We start from the raw sequence: 11700 nt of genomic DNA on the forward strand, positions 1-11700 counted from the left end.
CTTCTACCCAATCCACTGCACACTTCTCAGGGCAGGCTTGCTTCATGTCTCTGCAGCCTTCAGCACAGTTTCCCATTCCTTTTTTGGAACACTCTTTTCTTTTGGGTTCCAGAAGTCCGCATCCTCCTGATTTTCTTCTTAGTTCGCCGGCTTCTCCTTTGGCAACTTGTTCTCCACCTGACCTCTAAATGTCGGAGTTCCTCAGAGCTTGGTCTTAGGCCATCTTGTCTTTTCCCTGCACCTCTTTATGACGTCATCTGCTAGAATGTGCCACTCACTCTTGGGGCTCTATTCCAACCCAGATTTCTCTGCTGAATTCCAGGACTGTGTCTACAGCCACCTATTAAACATTTCTCCTGGATTTCTCAAAGAACTAAAAATAGAACTACAGTTTGACCCAGCAATCTCATTACTGGGTATTTACCCAAAAGAAAAAAAATCCTTCTACCAGAAAGAAATATGCACTCGTATGTTCCTTGCAGCACTATTCACAAGAGCAAAGACATGAACTCAGCTTAGGTGCCCATCAATGGTGGACTGGATAAAGAAAATGGTACATGTATGTTATGGAATACTATGCAGCCATAAAAAGAAACAAAATGAAGAAACAAAGAAACATGTTTTTTGCAGCAACATGGATGCAGCTGGAGTCCATTCTCTTAAGTGAATTTAGAGCAGGAACAGAAAACCAAATACCATATGTTCTCACTTGTAAACAGGAGCTAAACATTGGGTACTCATGGACATAAAGACGGCATCAATAGACACTGGGGACCACTAGGGGGAAGAAGGAAGAAGATGGGGCAAGGGTTGAAAACTATTAATACCTAATGGGGCCAGGCATGGTGGCTCACGCCTGTAATCCCAGCACTTTGGGAGGCCAAGGCAGGTAGATCACTTGAGGCCAGGAGTTCAAGACCAGCCTGGCTATCATGGCGAAACCCCATCTCTACTTAAAATACAAAAATTAGCCAGGTGTGGTGGTGCACACCTGTAATCCTAGCTACTTGGGAGGCTGAGGCAGACGAACCACTTGAACCCAGGAGGCGGAGGTTGCAGTGAGCTGAGATCGTGCCATTGCACTCCAGCCTGGGCAACAGAGCAAGACCCTGTCTCAAAGAAAAAAAGAAAAAGAAAAACTACCTATTGGGTACCGTGCTCATTACATGGGTGATGGGATCAATCGTATTCCAAACCTCAGTGTCACACAATTTACCCATATAACAAACCTGCACACGTACCCCGTGAATCTAAAATAAAAGTTAAAAAAAACAAAAAAAGAGGCCGGGCACAGTGGCTCACGCCTGTAATCCCAGCACTTTGGGAGGCTGAGGCAGGTGGATCACGAGGTAAGGAGATCGAGACCATCCTTGCTAACACGGTGAAACCCCGTCTCTACTAAAAATACAAAAAATTAGCCGGGCCTGGTGGCACGTATCTGTAGTCGCAGCTACTCAGGAGGCTGAGGCAGGAAAATCACTTGAACCCAGGAGGCAGAGGTTGCAGTGGGCCGAGATTGCGCCACTGCACTACAGCCTGGGCGACAGAGCGAGATCCGGCTGAGTGCGGTGGCTCACACCGGTAATCCCAGCACTTTGGGAGGCTGAGGCTGGCGGATCGCTTGAGGCCAGGAGTTCGAGACCAGCCTGGGCAACATGACAAAACCCTGTCTCTACAAAAAAAAATACAAAAAATTAGCCAGGCATGGTGGTGTGCACCAGTAGTTCCATCTACTGGGGAGGCTGAGGTGAGAGGATCATCTCAGCCCAGGAGGTCGAGGCTGCAGCAAGCTGTGATTGCGCCACTGCACTCCAGTCTTGGTGACAGAGTGAGACCCTGTCTCAAAAAAAACAAAACCAAAAACACCAAAAAAAATTTTCTCCATAGGCACTTCAAACCTAAAACTTCCCAATCTTAAACTCTTGATCTTCCTCCCAGAATATGTTCCATCTCAAATGTTCTGCTCGAAGTAAACAATACCTCCAGGCCAAGCACTGTTATTTTTTCATTTTTGTTTGTTTGTTTTGTTTTGTTTTGTTTTGAGACAGGGCCTGGCTCTGTCACCCAGGCTGGAGTGCGGTGGCAGAAATTCAGCTCACCACAACCTTTGCCTCAGGAGTTCAAGTCATCTTCCCACCTCAGCCTTCCGAGTAGCTGGGACTACAGGCGCACGCCACCATGTATTTCTTTCTTTCTCTCTCTTTTTTTTTTAACGACGTAGTCTTGCTATGTTGCCCAGGCTGGTCTTGAACTCCTGGACTCAAGTGATCCGCCCACCTCTGCCTCCCAAAATGCTGGGATTACAGGTGTGAGCCACCACGCCTGACCCTAATCCATATTTCAATGCCCATCTGCCTCCTCTATAGATTGCAAGCTCCATGAGGAGGGTGCACCTGTCATTCAAGGTTGCATCCTCATTGCCTAGGGCAGTGCCTGATACATCATCCGGTTCAGTAAATATCAACGGAATGAGTTAAAACAGGAAAGCTTATTAGCACAGAAACCAAAGCAGCACACATGCCCTCTTGAGATTGACAAAATTGTGCTGTAGTCCTGCGCTGCTTGTTGTTAAGTGACTTTAGGGAAGTCATCGTGGCCATCTACAGATTGAGGAAATCAACGTAATTATCTCTGAGGTCCCTCCCAAATTCTCATGTGTAGTTGACATCTGTTATCTATTGCTTATATGTCACTGAATTGGCAGGTATGCATAAATAGAATTTGCATCTAACTACGAATACGATTGTTTATATTTTCTTTAAAAAAATATTGGGCTTTTGTTTCTCATATTGAGAGCTCTGTTATGCCATTTTCGAATTTCTCCCAGATGTCCCCCCCGGCCCACCTTCAAACTCTGCTTCCTTAGACAGATTTGGCAATAGCTTTGTAAGTGATATGGACATAATTGCCTAAAATAATGAAAACCTACAGGATTCTTTTTTCATTTTCCCTTTGGCATGTTTACAATTCCCTGCCCCACCAGGCAGATCATTCTGTGTGTGTGAGTGTGTGTACCCATTACAAAGACAACTACTATGTTCATAACATATTCGATTTGGAAAAAACAATTGTAGGCTGGGCACGGTGGCTGACATCTGTAATCCCAGCACTTTGGGAGGCCGAGGCGGGCAGATCACGAGGTCAGGAGTTCAAGACCAACCTGGCCAACATGAAACCCCATCTCTGCTAAAAATGCAAAAATTAGCCAGGCCTGGTGGCATGCTCCTATAATCCCAGCTACTCGGGAGGCTGAGACAGGAGAATCGCTTGAACCCAAGAGGCAGAGGTTGCAGTAAGCCGAGATTGTGCCATTGCACTCCAGCTCTGGGTGACAGAGCAAGACTCCATTTCAGAAAAAAAAAAAAAAGAAAAAAGAAAAAACAATTGTTTTTGAAAAGTGATTTGTAATGTCTTTCACAGAGACTAAATGAAGAGTATGTTTTGATACTTTTTAAAATATAATTTCATCTTTTTAGATTCTGACTCATGTGCACATGAATGTACCCATGTACATGGGTATATCTTGTGATGCTGAAGTTTGGGGTACAATTGATCCCGTCACCTGGGGTACAGTACCCAATAGGTAGTTTTTCAACCCTTCCCCCCTCTAGTAATCCCCCGTGTCTATTGTTCCCATCTTTATGTTCATGAGTACCCAGTGTTTAGCTCCTACTTATAAGTGAGAACATGCAGTGTTTGGTTTTCTGTTCCTGCAGAAATTTATCCACTTAGGATAAAAGCCTCTAGCTGCATCCATGTTACTGCAAAGGACACGATTTCTTCTTCTTTTCTTTTCTTTTGTTTCTTCTTTCTTTCTTTCCCTTCCTTCCTTCTCTCTTTTCTTTCTCTTTCTCTCTCTCTCTCTTTTCTGCATCCATGTTGCTGCAAAGGACATGATTTCTTCTTTTTTCTCTCTTCCTTTCTCTTTCCTTTCTTTTTTTCTTTCCTTCCCTTCCTTCCCTCCTTTTCTTTCTTTTACTTTTTCTTCTTTTGTCTTTCTTTCTTCTTCTTGAGTCAAAGTCTTGCTCTGTTGCCCAGGCCGGAGTGCAGTGAGTGGTGTGATTTTGGCTCACTGCAACCTCCGCCTCCCGGGTTCAAGCAATTCTCCTGCCTCAGCCTCCTGAGTAGCTGGGATTACAGGTGTGTGCCACCACGCCCAGCTAATGTTTGTATTTTTAGCAGAGACGGGGTTTCACCATATTGGCCAGGCTTGTCTCAAACTCCTGACCTCAAGTGATCCACCCGCCTCGGCCTCTCACAGTGCTAGGATTACAGGCGTGAGCCCCATCTCGTTCTTTCTTATGGCTGCGTGTTTTGATACTTTCAAATTACAAGGACTCAGTGAAGGCTATTCGTTGCCTTGAACTTCCCAAAGCATTTCCACAATCGATGGGGTTCTCAGTAAGAATCCGGGACTTGGAGGGCAGATGCTGTCAACATCCCCATTTAACAGATGTGGAAACTGAGGCCTAGACCTACGTTCTTGTCCCTTTACAGGCAAGGTCCCTGGAGGAAGGGGTTCATCTAGAGGCTCATACAGATAAACTGGAATGTACAGTAAAGTTTTGGCTGCCTGGGTTCATATCTAAACTCTGCAGCCTCAGGTCTCTTTCCACTATTAGAAAATGGGGAGAAGGCTGGGCGCGGTGGCTCACGCCTGTAATCCCAGCACTTTGGGAGGCCGAGACGGGCACATCACCTGAGGTCAGGAGTTTGAGACCAGCCTGGCCGACATGGTGAAACCTCGTCTCTACTAAAAATACAAAAAAAAATTAGCTGGGCATGGTGGCGGGCGCCTGTAATCCCACCTACTCCAGAGGCTGAGGCAGGAGAATCGCCTGAACCCAGGAGGCGGAGGTTGCAGTGAGCCGAGATCATGCCACTGCACTTCAGCCTGGGCGACAGAGTGAGACCCTGTCTCCAAAAAAAAAAAAAAGAAAAGAAAAGAAAATGGGGAGAATGTTAGCACTTAATTTCCCAGTATTGTGAGACTTAACATATGTCAGCCTGGGCAGCATAGCAAGACCCCACCTCTACCAAAAATTTAAAAATTAGCTGGGCATGGTGGCTGGGGCACGCCTGTGGTCCCAGGTACTAGGGAGGCTGAGGCAGGAAGATCACTTGAGCCGAGGAGATTGAGGTGGCAGTGACCTACAATCGCGTCACTGTACTCCAATTAAAAAATAAGTGTCGGGCCAGGCGCGGTGGCTCACGCCTGTAATCCCAGCACTTTGGGAGGCCGAGACAGGCAGATCACGAGGTCAGGAGATGGAGACCATCCTGGCTAACACCGTGAAACCCCGTCTCTACTAAAAATACAAAAAATTAGCCGGGTGTGGTGGCACACGCCTGTAGTCCCAGCTACTCAGGAGGCTGAGGCAGGAGAATCGCTTGCACCCGGGCGGCGGAGGTTGCAGTGAGTTGAGATAGCACTCCAGCCTGGGCGACAGAGAGAGACTCCGTCTCAAAAAAAAAAAGTGTGGCTCTCAATAAATGAGTTGTTATTTCAGTGGCAAGCCCTGAAAGGGGGTCTACAAAGGCCCAGTGGGCGAGGCTGAGGAAATGCCTGGACACGACCCTTCTCATGGCATTCCCGGGGCGCCCGCATCAGCCCCTACCCACTCCCGCTCGGGGACTTTCTCGGAATCGCGCTTCTTCTTCCAGCAGCCTCGAGGCCGGCCCCGTCCAGGTCTCTTTAGCTCCGCCCCCTGGTGAGGGGCGTGGCCTCCTCAGGGCCGGGGCGTGGCCCAACCGGGAACTGGGGCGTCGAACTCCCCTTCCCAGTCTGGAGCCACCCATTCCAGGCGGGGCGGGAGGCTGATCACGTGACCAGCGAGCGGTCTCACCCTCCTCATATGCCAGTACCACCTCCTCCAGTCCCAGAGGGGGGATGTCTTACTCCTTTCCGTGAAGCAAACCCTTTGAGTACGGTTTGCGTCCACAAAGCGTAGGGTGAGAACCTTGGGAGCGACTGGGCCCGTCTTTGCTCCCTCGGTGGGGTTTTGTCTCCTGGCTTCCCCCAAGTGCGAGGCAGTTGGTCTCGCCCAGCCGGGTCCTGGGCGCGGCGGCGGCAGCCGCGTCACTGGCGGGCGGGATCCCTCCGCTCTGGGGAGGCAGCGCTGGCGGCGGGGCTGGGGCCACTGAGGAAATCCATCCGCGCCGCCGCCGCCGCCGCCGCCGCCGCCGCCGCCGCCTCCGCCGCGGAGGAAGACAGCGCCGCCCGCGCACCGCCAGCGACCTCCGCCGCAGAGTCCCACCGCCACAGGTACCTTCGCTGGCAAAAGGAGTCCTCTCGCCCCCCAGCCCCAATTTCCCCCAGGGGAACCTCTCTTCCTTCGGTCTCCCGGGGCTGGCCTCCTGGGAGCGGACGTAACTCCCCAGACCTCCGCTCCCTTCCCCTCTTGCCCGGTCGCTCCCAAACCCGGAAGGGGAACTGGGGAACCCTCGCCCCCCACCGTGCGTGCGCTTCCCCGCACCATCAGCGAAGTTTTTGCCCGACCCCAGACCCCAGCCCAGCCCCGACTGCCTCTTGCTCCCTCGGAAGTTGGGGGGCTAAATTCCGGGCTTCCTCTAGGCCCCGCCCCGCCCCCTTTCCCCACCGCCACCCTCCCGCCTGCCCCCGGGGAGCACCCCTCGTGTCCTCCACTGTCGCACCCCTGCCGGCCCTCGCCTTGCACAACTCCAAAATCGGGGAGAAGCAGGCAAGGCCGCGCGCCACCCTTCCTTTCGTCTCCACCCTACCCACGATTTGGGTGCTGCCCGTGGTTTCTGGCCCCACTCGCCGAAACTGGAGCCCTCGGCGCCCTATTCCCTTTACAGATCCTCACCCCAAGCCCAGCTCCCAGGCGCCCGCCCCCCGCCCAGCTTTCTTTTAGGCAAAATGGAGGTCGTAGGGGCTGGAGGGCCAGGCCCACTGCGCTTCGCAGCGCCGCACCAGCCCGCGCCTTCCAGCTGCCAGATCCAGGGACCCTCCCGTCACTCTCCTGAGCCCCGCCAGACCTGCGGAGGCGGTTGCACCCTCATTTCTCTATGGAGCGCCGGCTGCTATATCCCTAGAGTCTGGGGGCTGCTGAGGGCCCTGGGGGGTGATGGGGACCGAGGGCTGAGAACGTCGCCCCCGCCCCCAGTTTCTTCCTCCAGCCGTGCTTCCTTCTGCCCTGGGCCTCCGGCGGTGCCGCCAGGCCTGGGCTGCTAGTAGGTGGAAGAGGCTTTGTGCGGGCCTGGGGGTTGGGTAGAGTAAGGAGTTCTGCCCGCACCCCCCATCCCCCGATTTTGAGGGTCACCCCTTGGCACTGGCGTAGAAAGCTGAACTTACAAGGAGGGGAAATGTCAGTGGGGAAGAGGAACGCCCTGCGCCTGGGGGAAGTGGGAGCTGGGTGGGGGACGCCTGGGCCGGCCAAGTGCAGTGTGTACGGCCGGATCGCACAGGTGTCCCGCGGGCGGGGAAGGACTCAGGCTCCCGGAGCGGAGCCAGCCGGGCCCCTGGGGCCCGGGCGCCGAGCCTGCGGGCTGGGCCCCCCGGGTGTCCAGGGCGCCGCGGCCAGGCCGCCTGGGGCCGCCCGCCCGCGCCTGGGAGAGAGCACCTCCGCGCCTCGGGGCCGGGGACCTCGTTGCGGAGCCGTAATTACTCGAGAGCGGCTCCCACGGGCTTTCTGCGGGCGCGGCGGGGCGGGCGGTCCCTGCGCTGGAGGGAGCAGCGGCTCGGGGCTGCCTTCCCCGCCGCTGTCACCCCCACCCGCGGCGGACGGCTAATGGGGCGCAGCCGGACCGGGGATTATCCGGGGTGAGCCGTCCAGAACCTATTAGCGCCCAATCGGCTTTTCCCAAATCCTGTAAACAGCCACCCGGGCCGGTTCTGGGGAGGGCGGGAGGCTGGGTCGGGCGGGGGCGATGGGGCCGGGGGTGGGGTCACCCACCCTACAGGTCTCTGCCGTGGATGCGGTTGCCTTGGCAACGGGGCTAGGGTGGGGGCATTTCACCAATGAGGTGCTCTCGGTCCGGGTGACGGTTGCCTAGGCAACCCCACGAACAGCCCAGCTTTCCCCTCTGGTCTCTCCCCCCACCCGCCACCATCGAAGCTGGGGGTGTGTGTGGAGGGTGTGCGCCTTGTGGGGTGAATTTCAAGAGGCACCGCCCCTTTTAAAATTAGGTGCTTGGAGGGCGGTGCCTGTGCGGGCTGGGGCAGAAGCCAGGTCTGTTTTCGAAGGGACACCCCCGCCCCCCCCGCCCCAGTTCCTGCCGCGGGTGTCCTGCCCGGGCTGTGTCCGAGGGAGGGGTTTCCCCTGCGCTTCCTCTTGCACTTCCCGCTCCGTTTCCGGGGGGCGGGAGGAAGATTGGGGAAGTCGGCTCTTACTCGGCGACGTCTCTGGTGCCGGAGACCCTGGTTGTGCCCGGGGACGGCGGCCGCGCCGCCCCTTCCCCCTCCCCTTGCTTACCCCTTCCGGGCCGCGCTGCAACCCCGCCTTTCTCCCCACTTCCCCGGCGGCCTCGGGCCTGACGTCAGCCCTGCATCCCCCAGGCCTCGGGCCAGCGGCCAGGAGCTGCCTCCCCCAGCCCCCGTCCCGCGGCCCCCAGCCGCCCCCAACCCTGCCCCACGGGCCCGGCGCCATGAGTGAGCTGGAGCAACTGAGACAGGAGGCCGAGCAGCTCCGGAACCAGATCCGGGTGAGGGCCTGGTGCGGGGCGGGCGATTCATGTGTACACCGCCCGGTGCCCTGGACCGGGTTGGGTGAGGGTGTTGGTGGGGGAAGGGGGAGGGAGGGCCCCTTAATGGCTCAGAATCTGACCCTGTCCACTCCTGTCTTCTGTTCTCTTCTCTCCCTTTCCTCCCCAACCTGTCTTCTCTCGCGTCTCTCTGGCTCTGCCATCCCTTACAGGATGCCCGAAAAGCATGTGGGGACTCAACACTGACCCAGGTGAGGGCACTTGGTGGCCAGAGCGTAACTAGGGGTTGAAGGGGCAAGGATCAGAGGCCGCTGCCCTCTGCAGTCCTGCTGCCTGGGCCTCCCCGAGCGCATTCTGTCTCTACCTCCAGATCACAGCTGGGCTGGACCCAGTGGGGAGAATCCAGATGAGGACCCGGAGGACCCTCCGTGGGCACCTGGCAAAGATCTATGCCATGCACTGGGGGACCGACTCAAGGTGTGTGTGTGTGCGCGGGCTGGCGCTGTGGGCCGACTTTCTAGCAGGCCGTGGGAGCAGCCTCAGATCTGGCGGAGTAAGCAGGCCACCAAAATACCCAGCGTACGTCTGGAAAAACGGTGACTCCCAGACATGTCCGCCAGACCTGGACAGGCAGGACCATGCTGGTGAGAACTTGTGGGCTGCAGCTGGAGACTGTCTCTCAGGTGGCTCACGCCTGTAATCCCAGCACGTGGGGAGGCCAGGGCAGGATCACTTGAGCTCAGGAGTTTGAGACCAGCCTGGGCAACATAGTGAGACCCTGGCTCTACTAAAAATTGAAAAATGAGCTGGGTGTGGTGGTGCTCACCTTGTAGTCCCAGCTATGCGGGGGAGGCTGAGGTGGGAGGATCACTTGAGCCTAGGAGTTCCAGGCTGCAGTGAGCTGTGATGGTGCCACTGCACTCCAGCCTGCACAACAGAGAGAGACCCTACCTTCTCCCACCCAAAGGGAAGGGGGTGTGTCTTGTTTTCACGCCACCCTTCTGCTCTCCCTACACCGTTCCCCACCAGGCTGCTGGTCAGCGCCTCCCAGGATGGGAAGCTCATCATCTGGGACAGCTACACCACCAACAAGGTAGGGTGGCGCGGGCTGCGGGGTGGGGCAGGGCCACAGGGCCCTGGCTGGCTCTGACCCCGGCGCTTCCCCTGCTCCGCAGGTCCACGCCATCCCGCTGCGCTCCTCCTGGGTAATGACCTGTGCCTACGCGCCCTCAGGGAACTTTGTGGCCTGTGGGGGGTTGGACAACATCTGCTCCATCTACAGCCTCAAGACCCGCGAGGGCAACGTCAGGGTCAGCCGGGAGCTGCCTGGCCACACTGGTGAGGGGCCTGGCCCAGTTCGGGCCCTTTTTGGGGTTGGGGGGTGCACTGCCCTCCGTGTGGAGACCTGGCTGACCAGCTCCTTCCCCAGGGTACCTGTCGTGTTGCCGCTTCCTGGATGACAACCAAATCATCACCAGCTCTGGGGATACCACCTGGTGAGGCTCTGCCAGGGCTGGGCAGTCTGGGCAAACCCACACTTCCTGCCTCAGGGGCCACCGTCCCAGTGCTCAACATGCAGCATGCACCGTAGCCTCCCTCTCCTGGTGGGCGCTAAGGGGGTCAGGGAGGGATGCGTCCCCTCCCCACCTAAGGCTCTGAGAAGAGCCTCCCTGGACCCTTCCACAGGGTTGGGCTCACGTGGTGGGGCGGGGAGAACAGGGACTCTGTTCTTCGCCCTGTCTCTTATCTTTTCTTTCTTCCTGTCACCTCTCCAGTGCCCTGTGGGACATTGAGACAGGCCAGCAGACAGTGGGTTTTGCTGGACACAGTGGGGATGTGATGTCCCTGTCCCTGGCCCCCGATGGCCGCACGTTTGTGTCAGGCGCCTGTGATGCCTCTATCAAGCTGTGGGACGTGCGGGATTCCATGTGCCGACAGACCTTCATCGGCCATGAATCCGACATCAATGCAGTGGCTGTGAGTTTTGGGGCGAGCTAGGCCAGGCCCTCCCCACCAGGCTCCCGGCCCTGCTCCTCACCCTCACCCTCACCCCATCTGGGTCCCGTGTCCTGCAGTTCTTCCCCAACGGCTACGCCTTCACCACCGGCTCTGACGACGCCACGTGCCGCCTCTTCGACCTGCGGGCCGATCAGGAGCTCCTCATGTACTCCCATGACAACATCATCTGTGGCATCACCTCTGTTGCCTTCTCGCGCAGCGGACGGCTGCTGCTCGCTGGCTACGACGACTTCAACTGCAACATCTGGGATGCCATGAAGGGCGACCGTGCAGGTGACAGCTGGGGCCCAGGCTGGGTGGGCAGGGACCTGGAGCCCAGGCCCAATGGGTTCTGACTTCTCTCTTCTTCACAGGAGTCCTCGCTGGCCACGACAACCGCGTGAGCTGCCTCGGGGTCACCGACGATGGCATGGCTGTGGCCACGGGCTCCTGGGACTCCTTCCTCAAGATCTGGAACTAATGGCCCCACCCCCACTGGGCCCAGGCCAGGAGGGGCCCTGCCCATGCCCACACTACAGGCCAGGGCTGCGGGGCTGGCGCAATCCCAGCCCCCTTCCCCGGGCCACGGGGCCTTGGGTCCCTGCCCTCCCACCCAGGTTTGGTTCCTCCCGGGGCCCCCACTGTGGAGATAAGAAGGGGATGGAATGGGGGAAGAGGAGGAGCAGGAGGCCCTCATCCTTCTGCTGCCCTGGGGTTGGGGCCTCACCCCTCTGGAGGGCCGGAGGCAGGAGGTGGAAACCCCAGGGGCTGGCTTTTTTAAAACTGGTTTTATTTTAATTTTTATTATATTTTCAGTTTTTCCATAAAGGAGCCAATTCCAACTCTGTACCTGGTCTCTGCCCTTGCTGTGTTCTCCTTGTTTCTGGACTTTGTTGCCTGAGGGCTGCTGAGGGGGTGGATGGTGGGGAAGGTATGGGGCCTGCCAGGCAGCTGGGGCTGGGGGTGGGGTCCCCACTCTCCCTCAGAGCAAAGCTGAAGCCCCAGCCCAGAGCCTTCCGTCCAGAGGTTCTCGGATAA

At 56.7% G+C, this 11700-nt stretch overlaps 1 protein-coding gene across 1 annotated transcript, besides 8 other annotated features; it reads left to right on the forward strand.

Annotated features, from left to right (window-relative positions):
* Positions 5612 to 5741: a silencer, noted in NCBI's record as "silent region_18454". NCBI's record gives its function as "represses an Ori minimal core promoter by ATAC-STARR-seq in GM12878 lymphoblastoid cells {active_cell/tissue: GM12878}" and the evidence as "EXISTENCE:reporter gene assay evidence [ECO:0000049][PMID:35858748]".
* Positions 5752 to 5831: a silencer, noted in NCBI's record as "silent region_18455". NCBI's record gives its function as "represses an Ori minimal core promoter by ATAC-STARR-seq in GM12878 lymphoblastoid cells {active_cell/tissue: GM12878}" and the evidence as "EXISTENCE:reporter gene assay evidence [ECO:0000049][PMID:35858748]".
* Positions 6082 to 6261: a silencer, noted in NCBI's record as "silent region_18456". NCBI's record gives its function as "represses an Ori minimal core promoter by ATAC-STARR-seq in GM12878 lymphoblastoid cells {active_cell/tissue: GM12878}" and the evidence as "EXISTENCE:reporter gene assay evidence [ECO:0000049][PMID:35858748]".
* GNB2 (G protein subunit beta 2) lies at positions 6082 to 11511 on the forward strand. The gene is made up of 10 exons (NM_005273.4): positions 6082 to 6265; positions 8519 to 8664; positions 8877 to 8915; positions 9035 to 9141; positions 9694 to 9757; positions 9840 to 10002; positions 10094 to 10160; positions 10440 to 10641; positions 10740 to 10956; positions 11037 to 11511. The coding sequence occupies exons 2-10, from the start codon at positions 8608 to 8610 to the stop codon at positions 11141 to 11143; spliced, it is 1023 nt and encodes a 340-aa protein (NP_005264.2). The 5' UTR covers positions 6082 to 6265; positions 8519 to 8607; the 3' UTR covers positions 11144 to 11511.
* Positions 6692 to 6901: an enhancer, noted in NCBI's record as "active region_26379". NCBI's record gives its function as "activates an Ori minimal core promoter by ATAC-STARR-seq in GM12878 lymphoblastoid cells {active_cell/tissue: GM12878}" and the evidence as "EXISTENCE:reporter gene assay evidence [ECO:0000049][PMID:35858748]".
* Positions 7102 to 7181: an enhancer, noted in NCBI's record as "active region_26380". NCBI's record gives its function as "activates an Ori minimal core promoter by ATAC-STARR-seq in GM12878 lymphoblastoid cells {active_cell/tissue: GM12878}" and the evidence as "EXISTENCE:reporter gene assay evidence [ECO:0000049][PMID:35858748]".
* Positions 7852 to 8091: a silencer, noted in NCBI's record as "silent region_18457". NCBI's record gives its function as "represses an Ori minimal core promoter by ATAC-STARR-seq in GM12878 lymphoblastoid cells {active_cell/tissue: GM12878}" and the evidence as "EXISTENCE:reporter gene assay evidence [ECO:0000049][PMID:35858748]".
* Positions 8102 to 8681: a silencer, noted in NCBI's record as "silent region_18458". NCBI's record gives its function as "represses an Ori minimal core promoter by ATAC-STARR-seq in GM12878 lymphoblastoid cells {active_cell/tissue: GM12878}" and the evidence as "EXISTENCE:reporter gene assay evidence [ECO:0000049][PMID:35858748]".
* Positions 11570 to 11699: an enhancer, noted in NCBI's record as "active region_26381". NCBI's record gives its function as "activates an Ori minimal core promoter by ATAC-STARR-seq in GM12878 lymphoblastoid cells {active_cell/tissue: GM12878}" and the evidence as "EXISTENCE:reporter gene assay evidence [ECO:0000049][PMID:35858748]".

The sequence above is a fragment of the Homo sapiens genome, chromosome 7 (assembly GCF_000001405.40).
Source record: "Homo sapiens chromosome 7, GRCh38.p14 Primary Assembly".
Taxonomy (NCBI): Eukaryota; Metazoa; Chordata; class Mammalia; order Primates; family Hominidae; genus Homo; species Homo sapiens.

Coding starts and splice junctions, on each gene's coding strand:
- GNB2 (NM_005273.4), top strand. CDS start 8,608: ATGAGTGAGCTGGAGCAACTGAGACAGGAGGCCGAGCAGCTCCGGAAC. Junction 8,665..8,876: donor AGCTCCGGAACCAGATCCGG/GTGAGGGCCTGG, acceptor CATCCCTTACAG/GATGCCCGAAAAGCATGTGG. Junction 10,642..10,739: donor CCGACATCAATGCAGTGGCT/GTGAGTTTTGGG, acceptor CGTGTCCTGCAG/TTCTTCCCCAACGGCTACGC.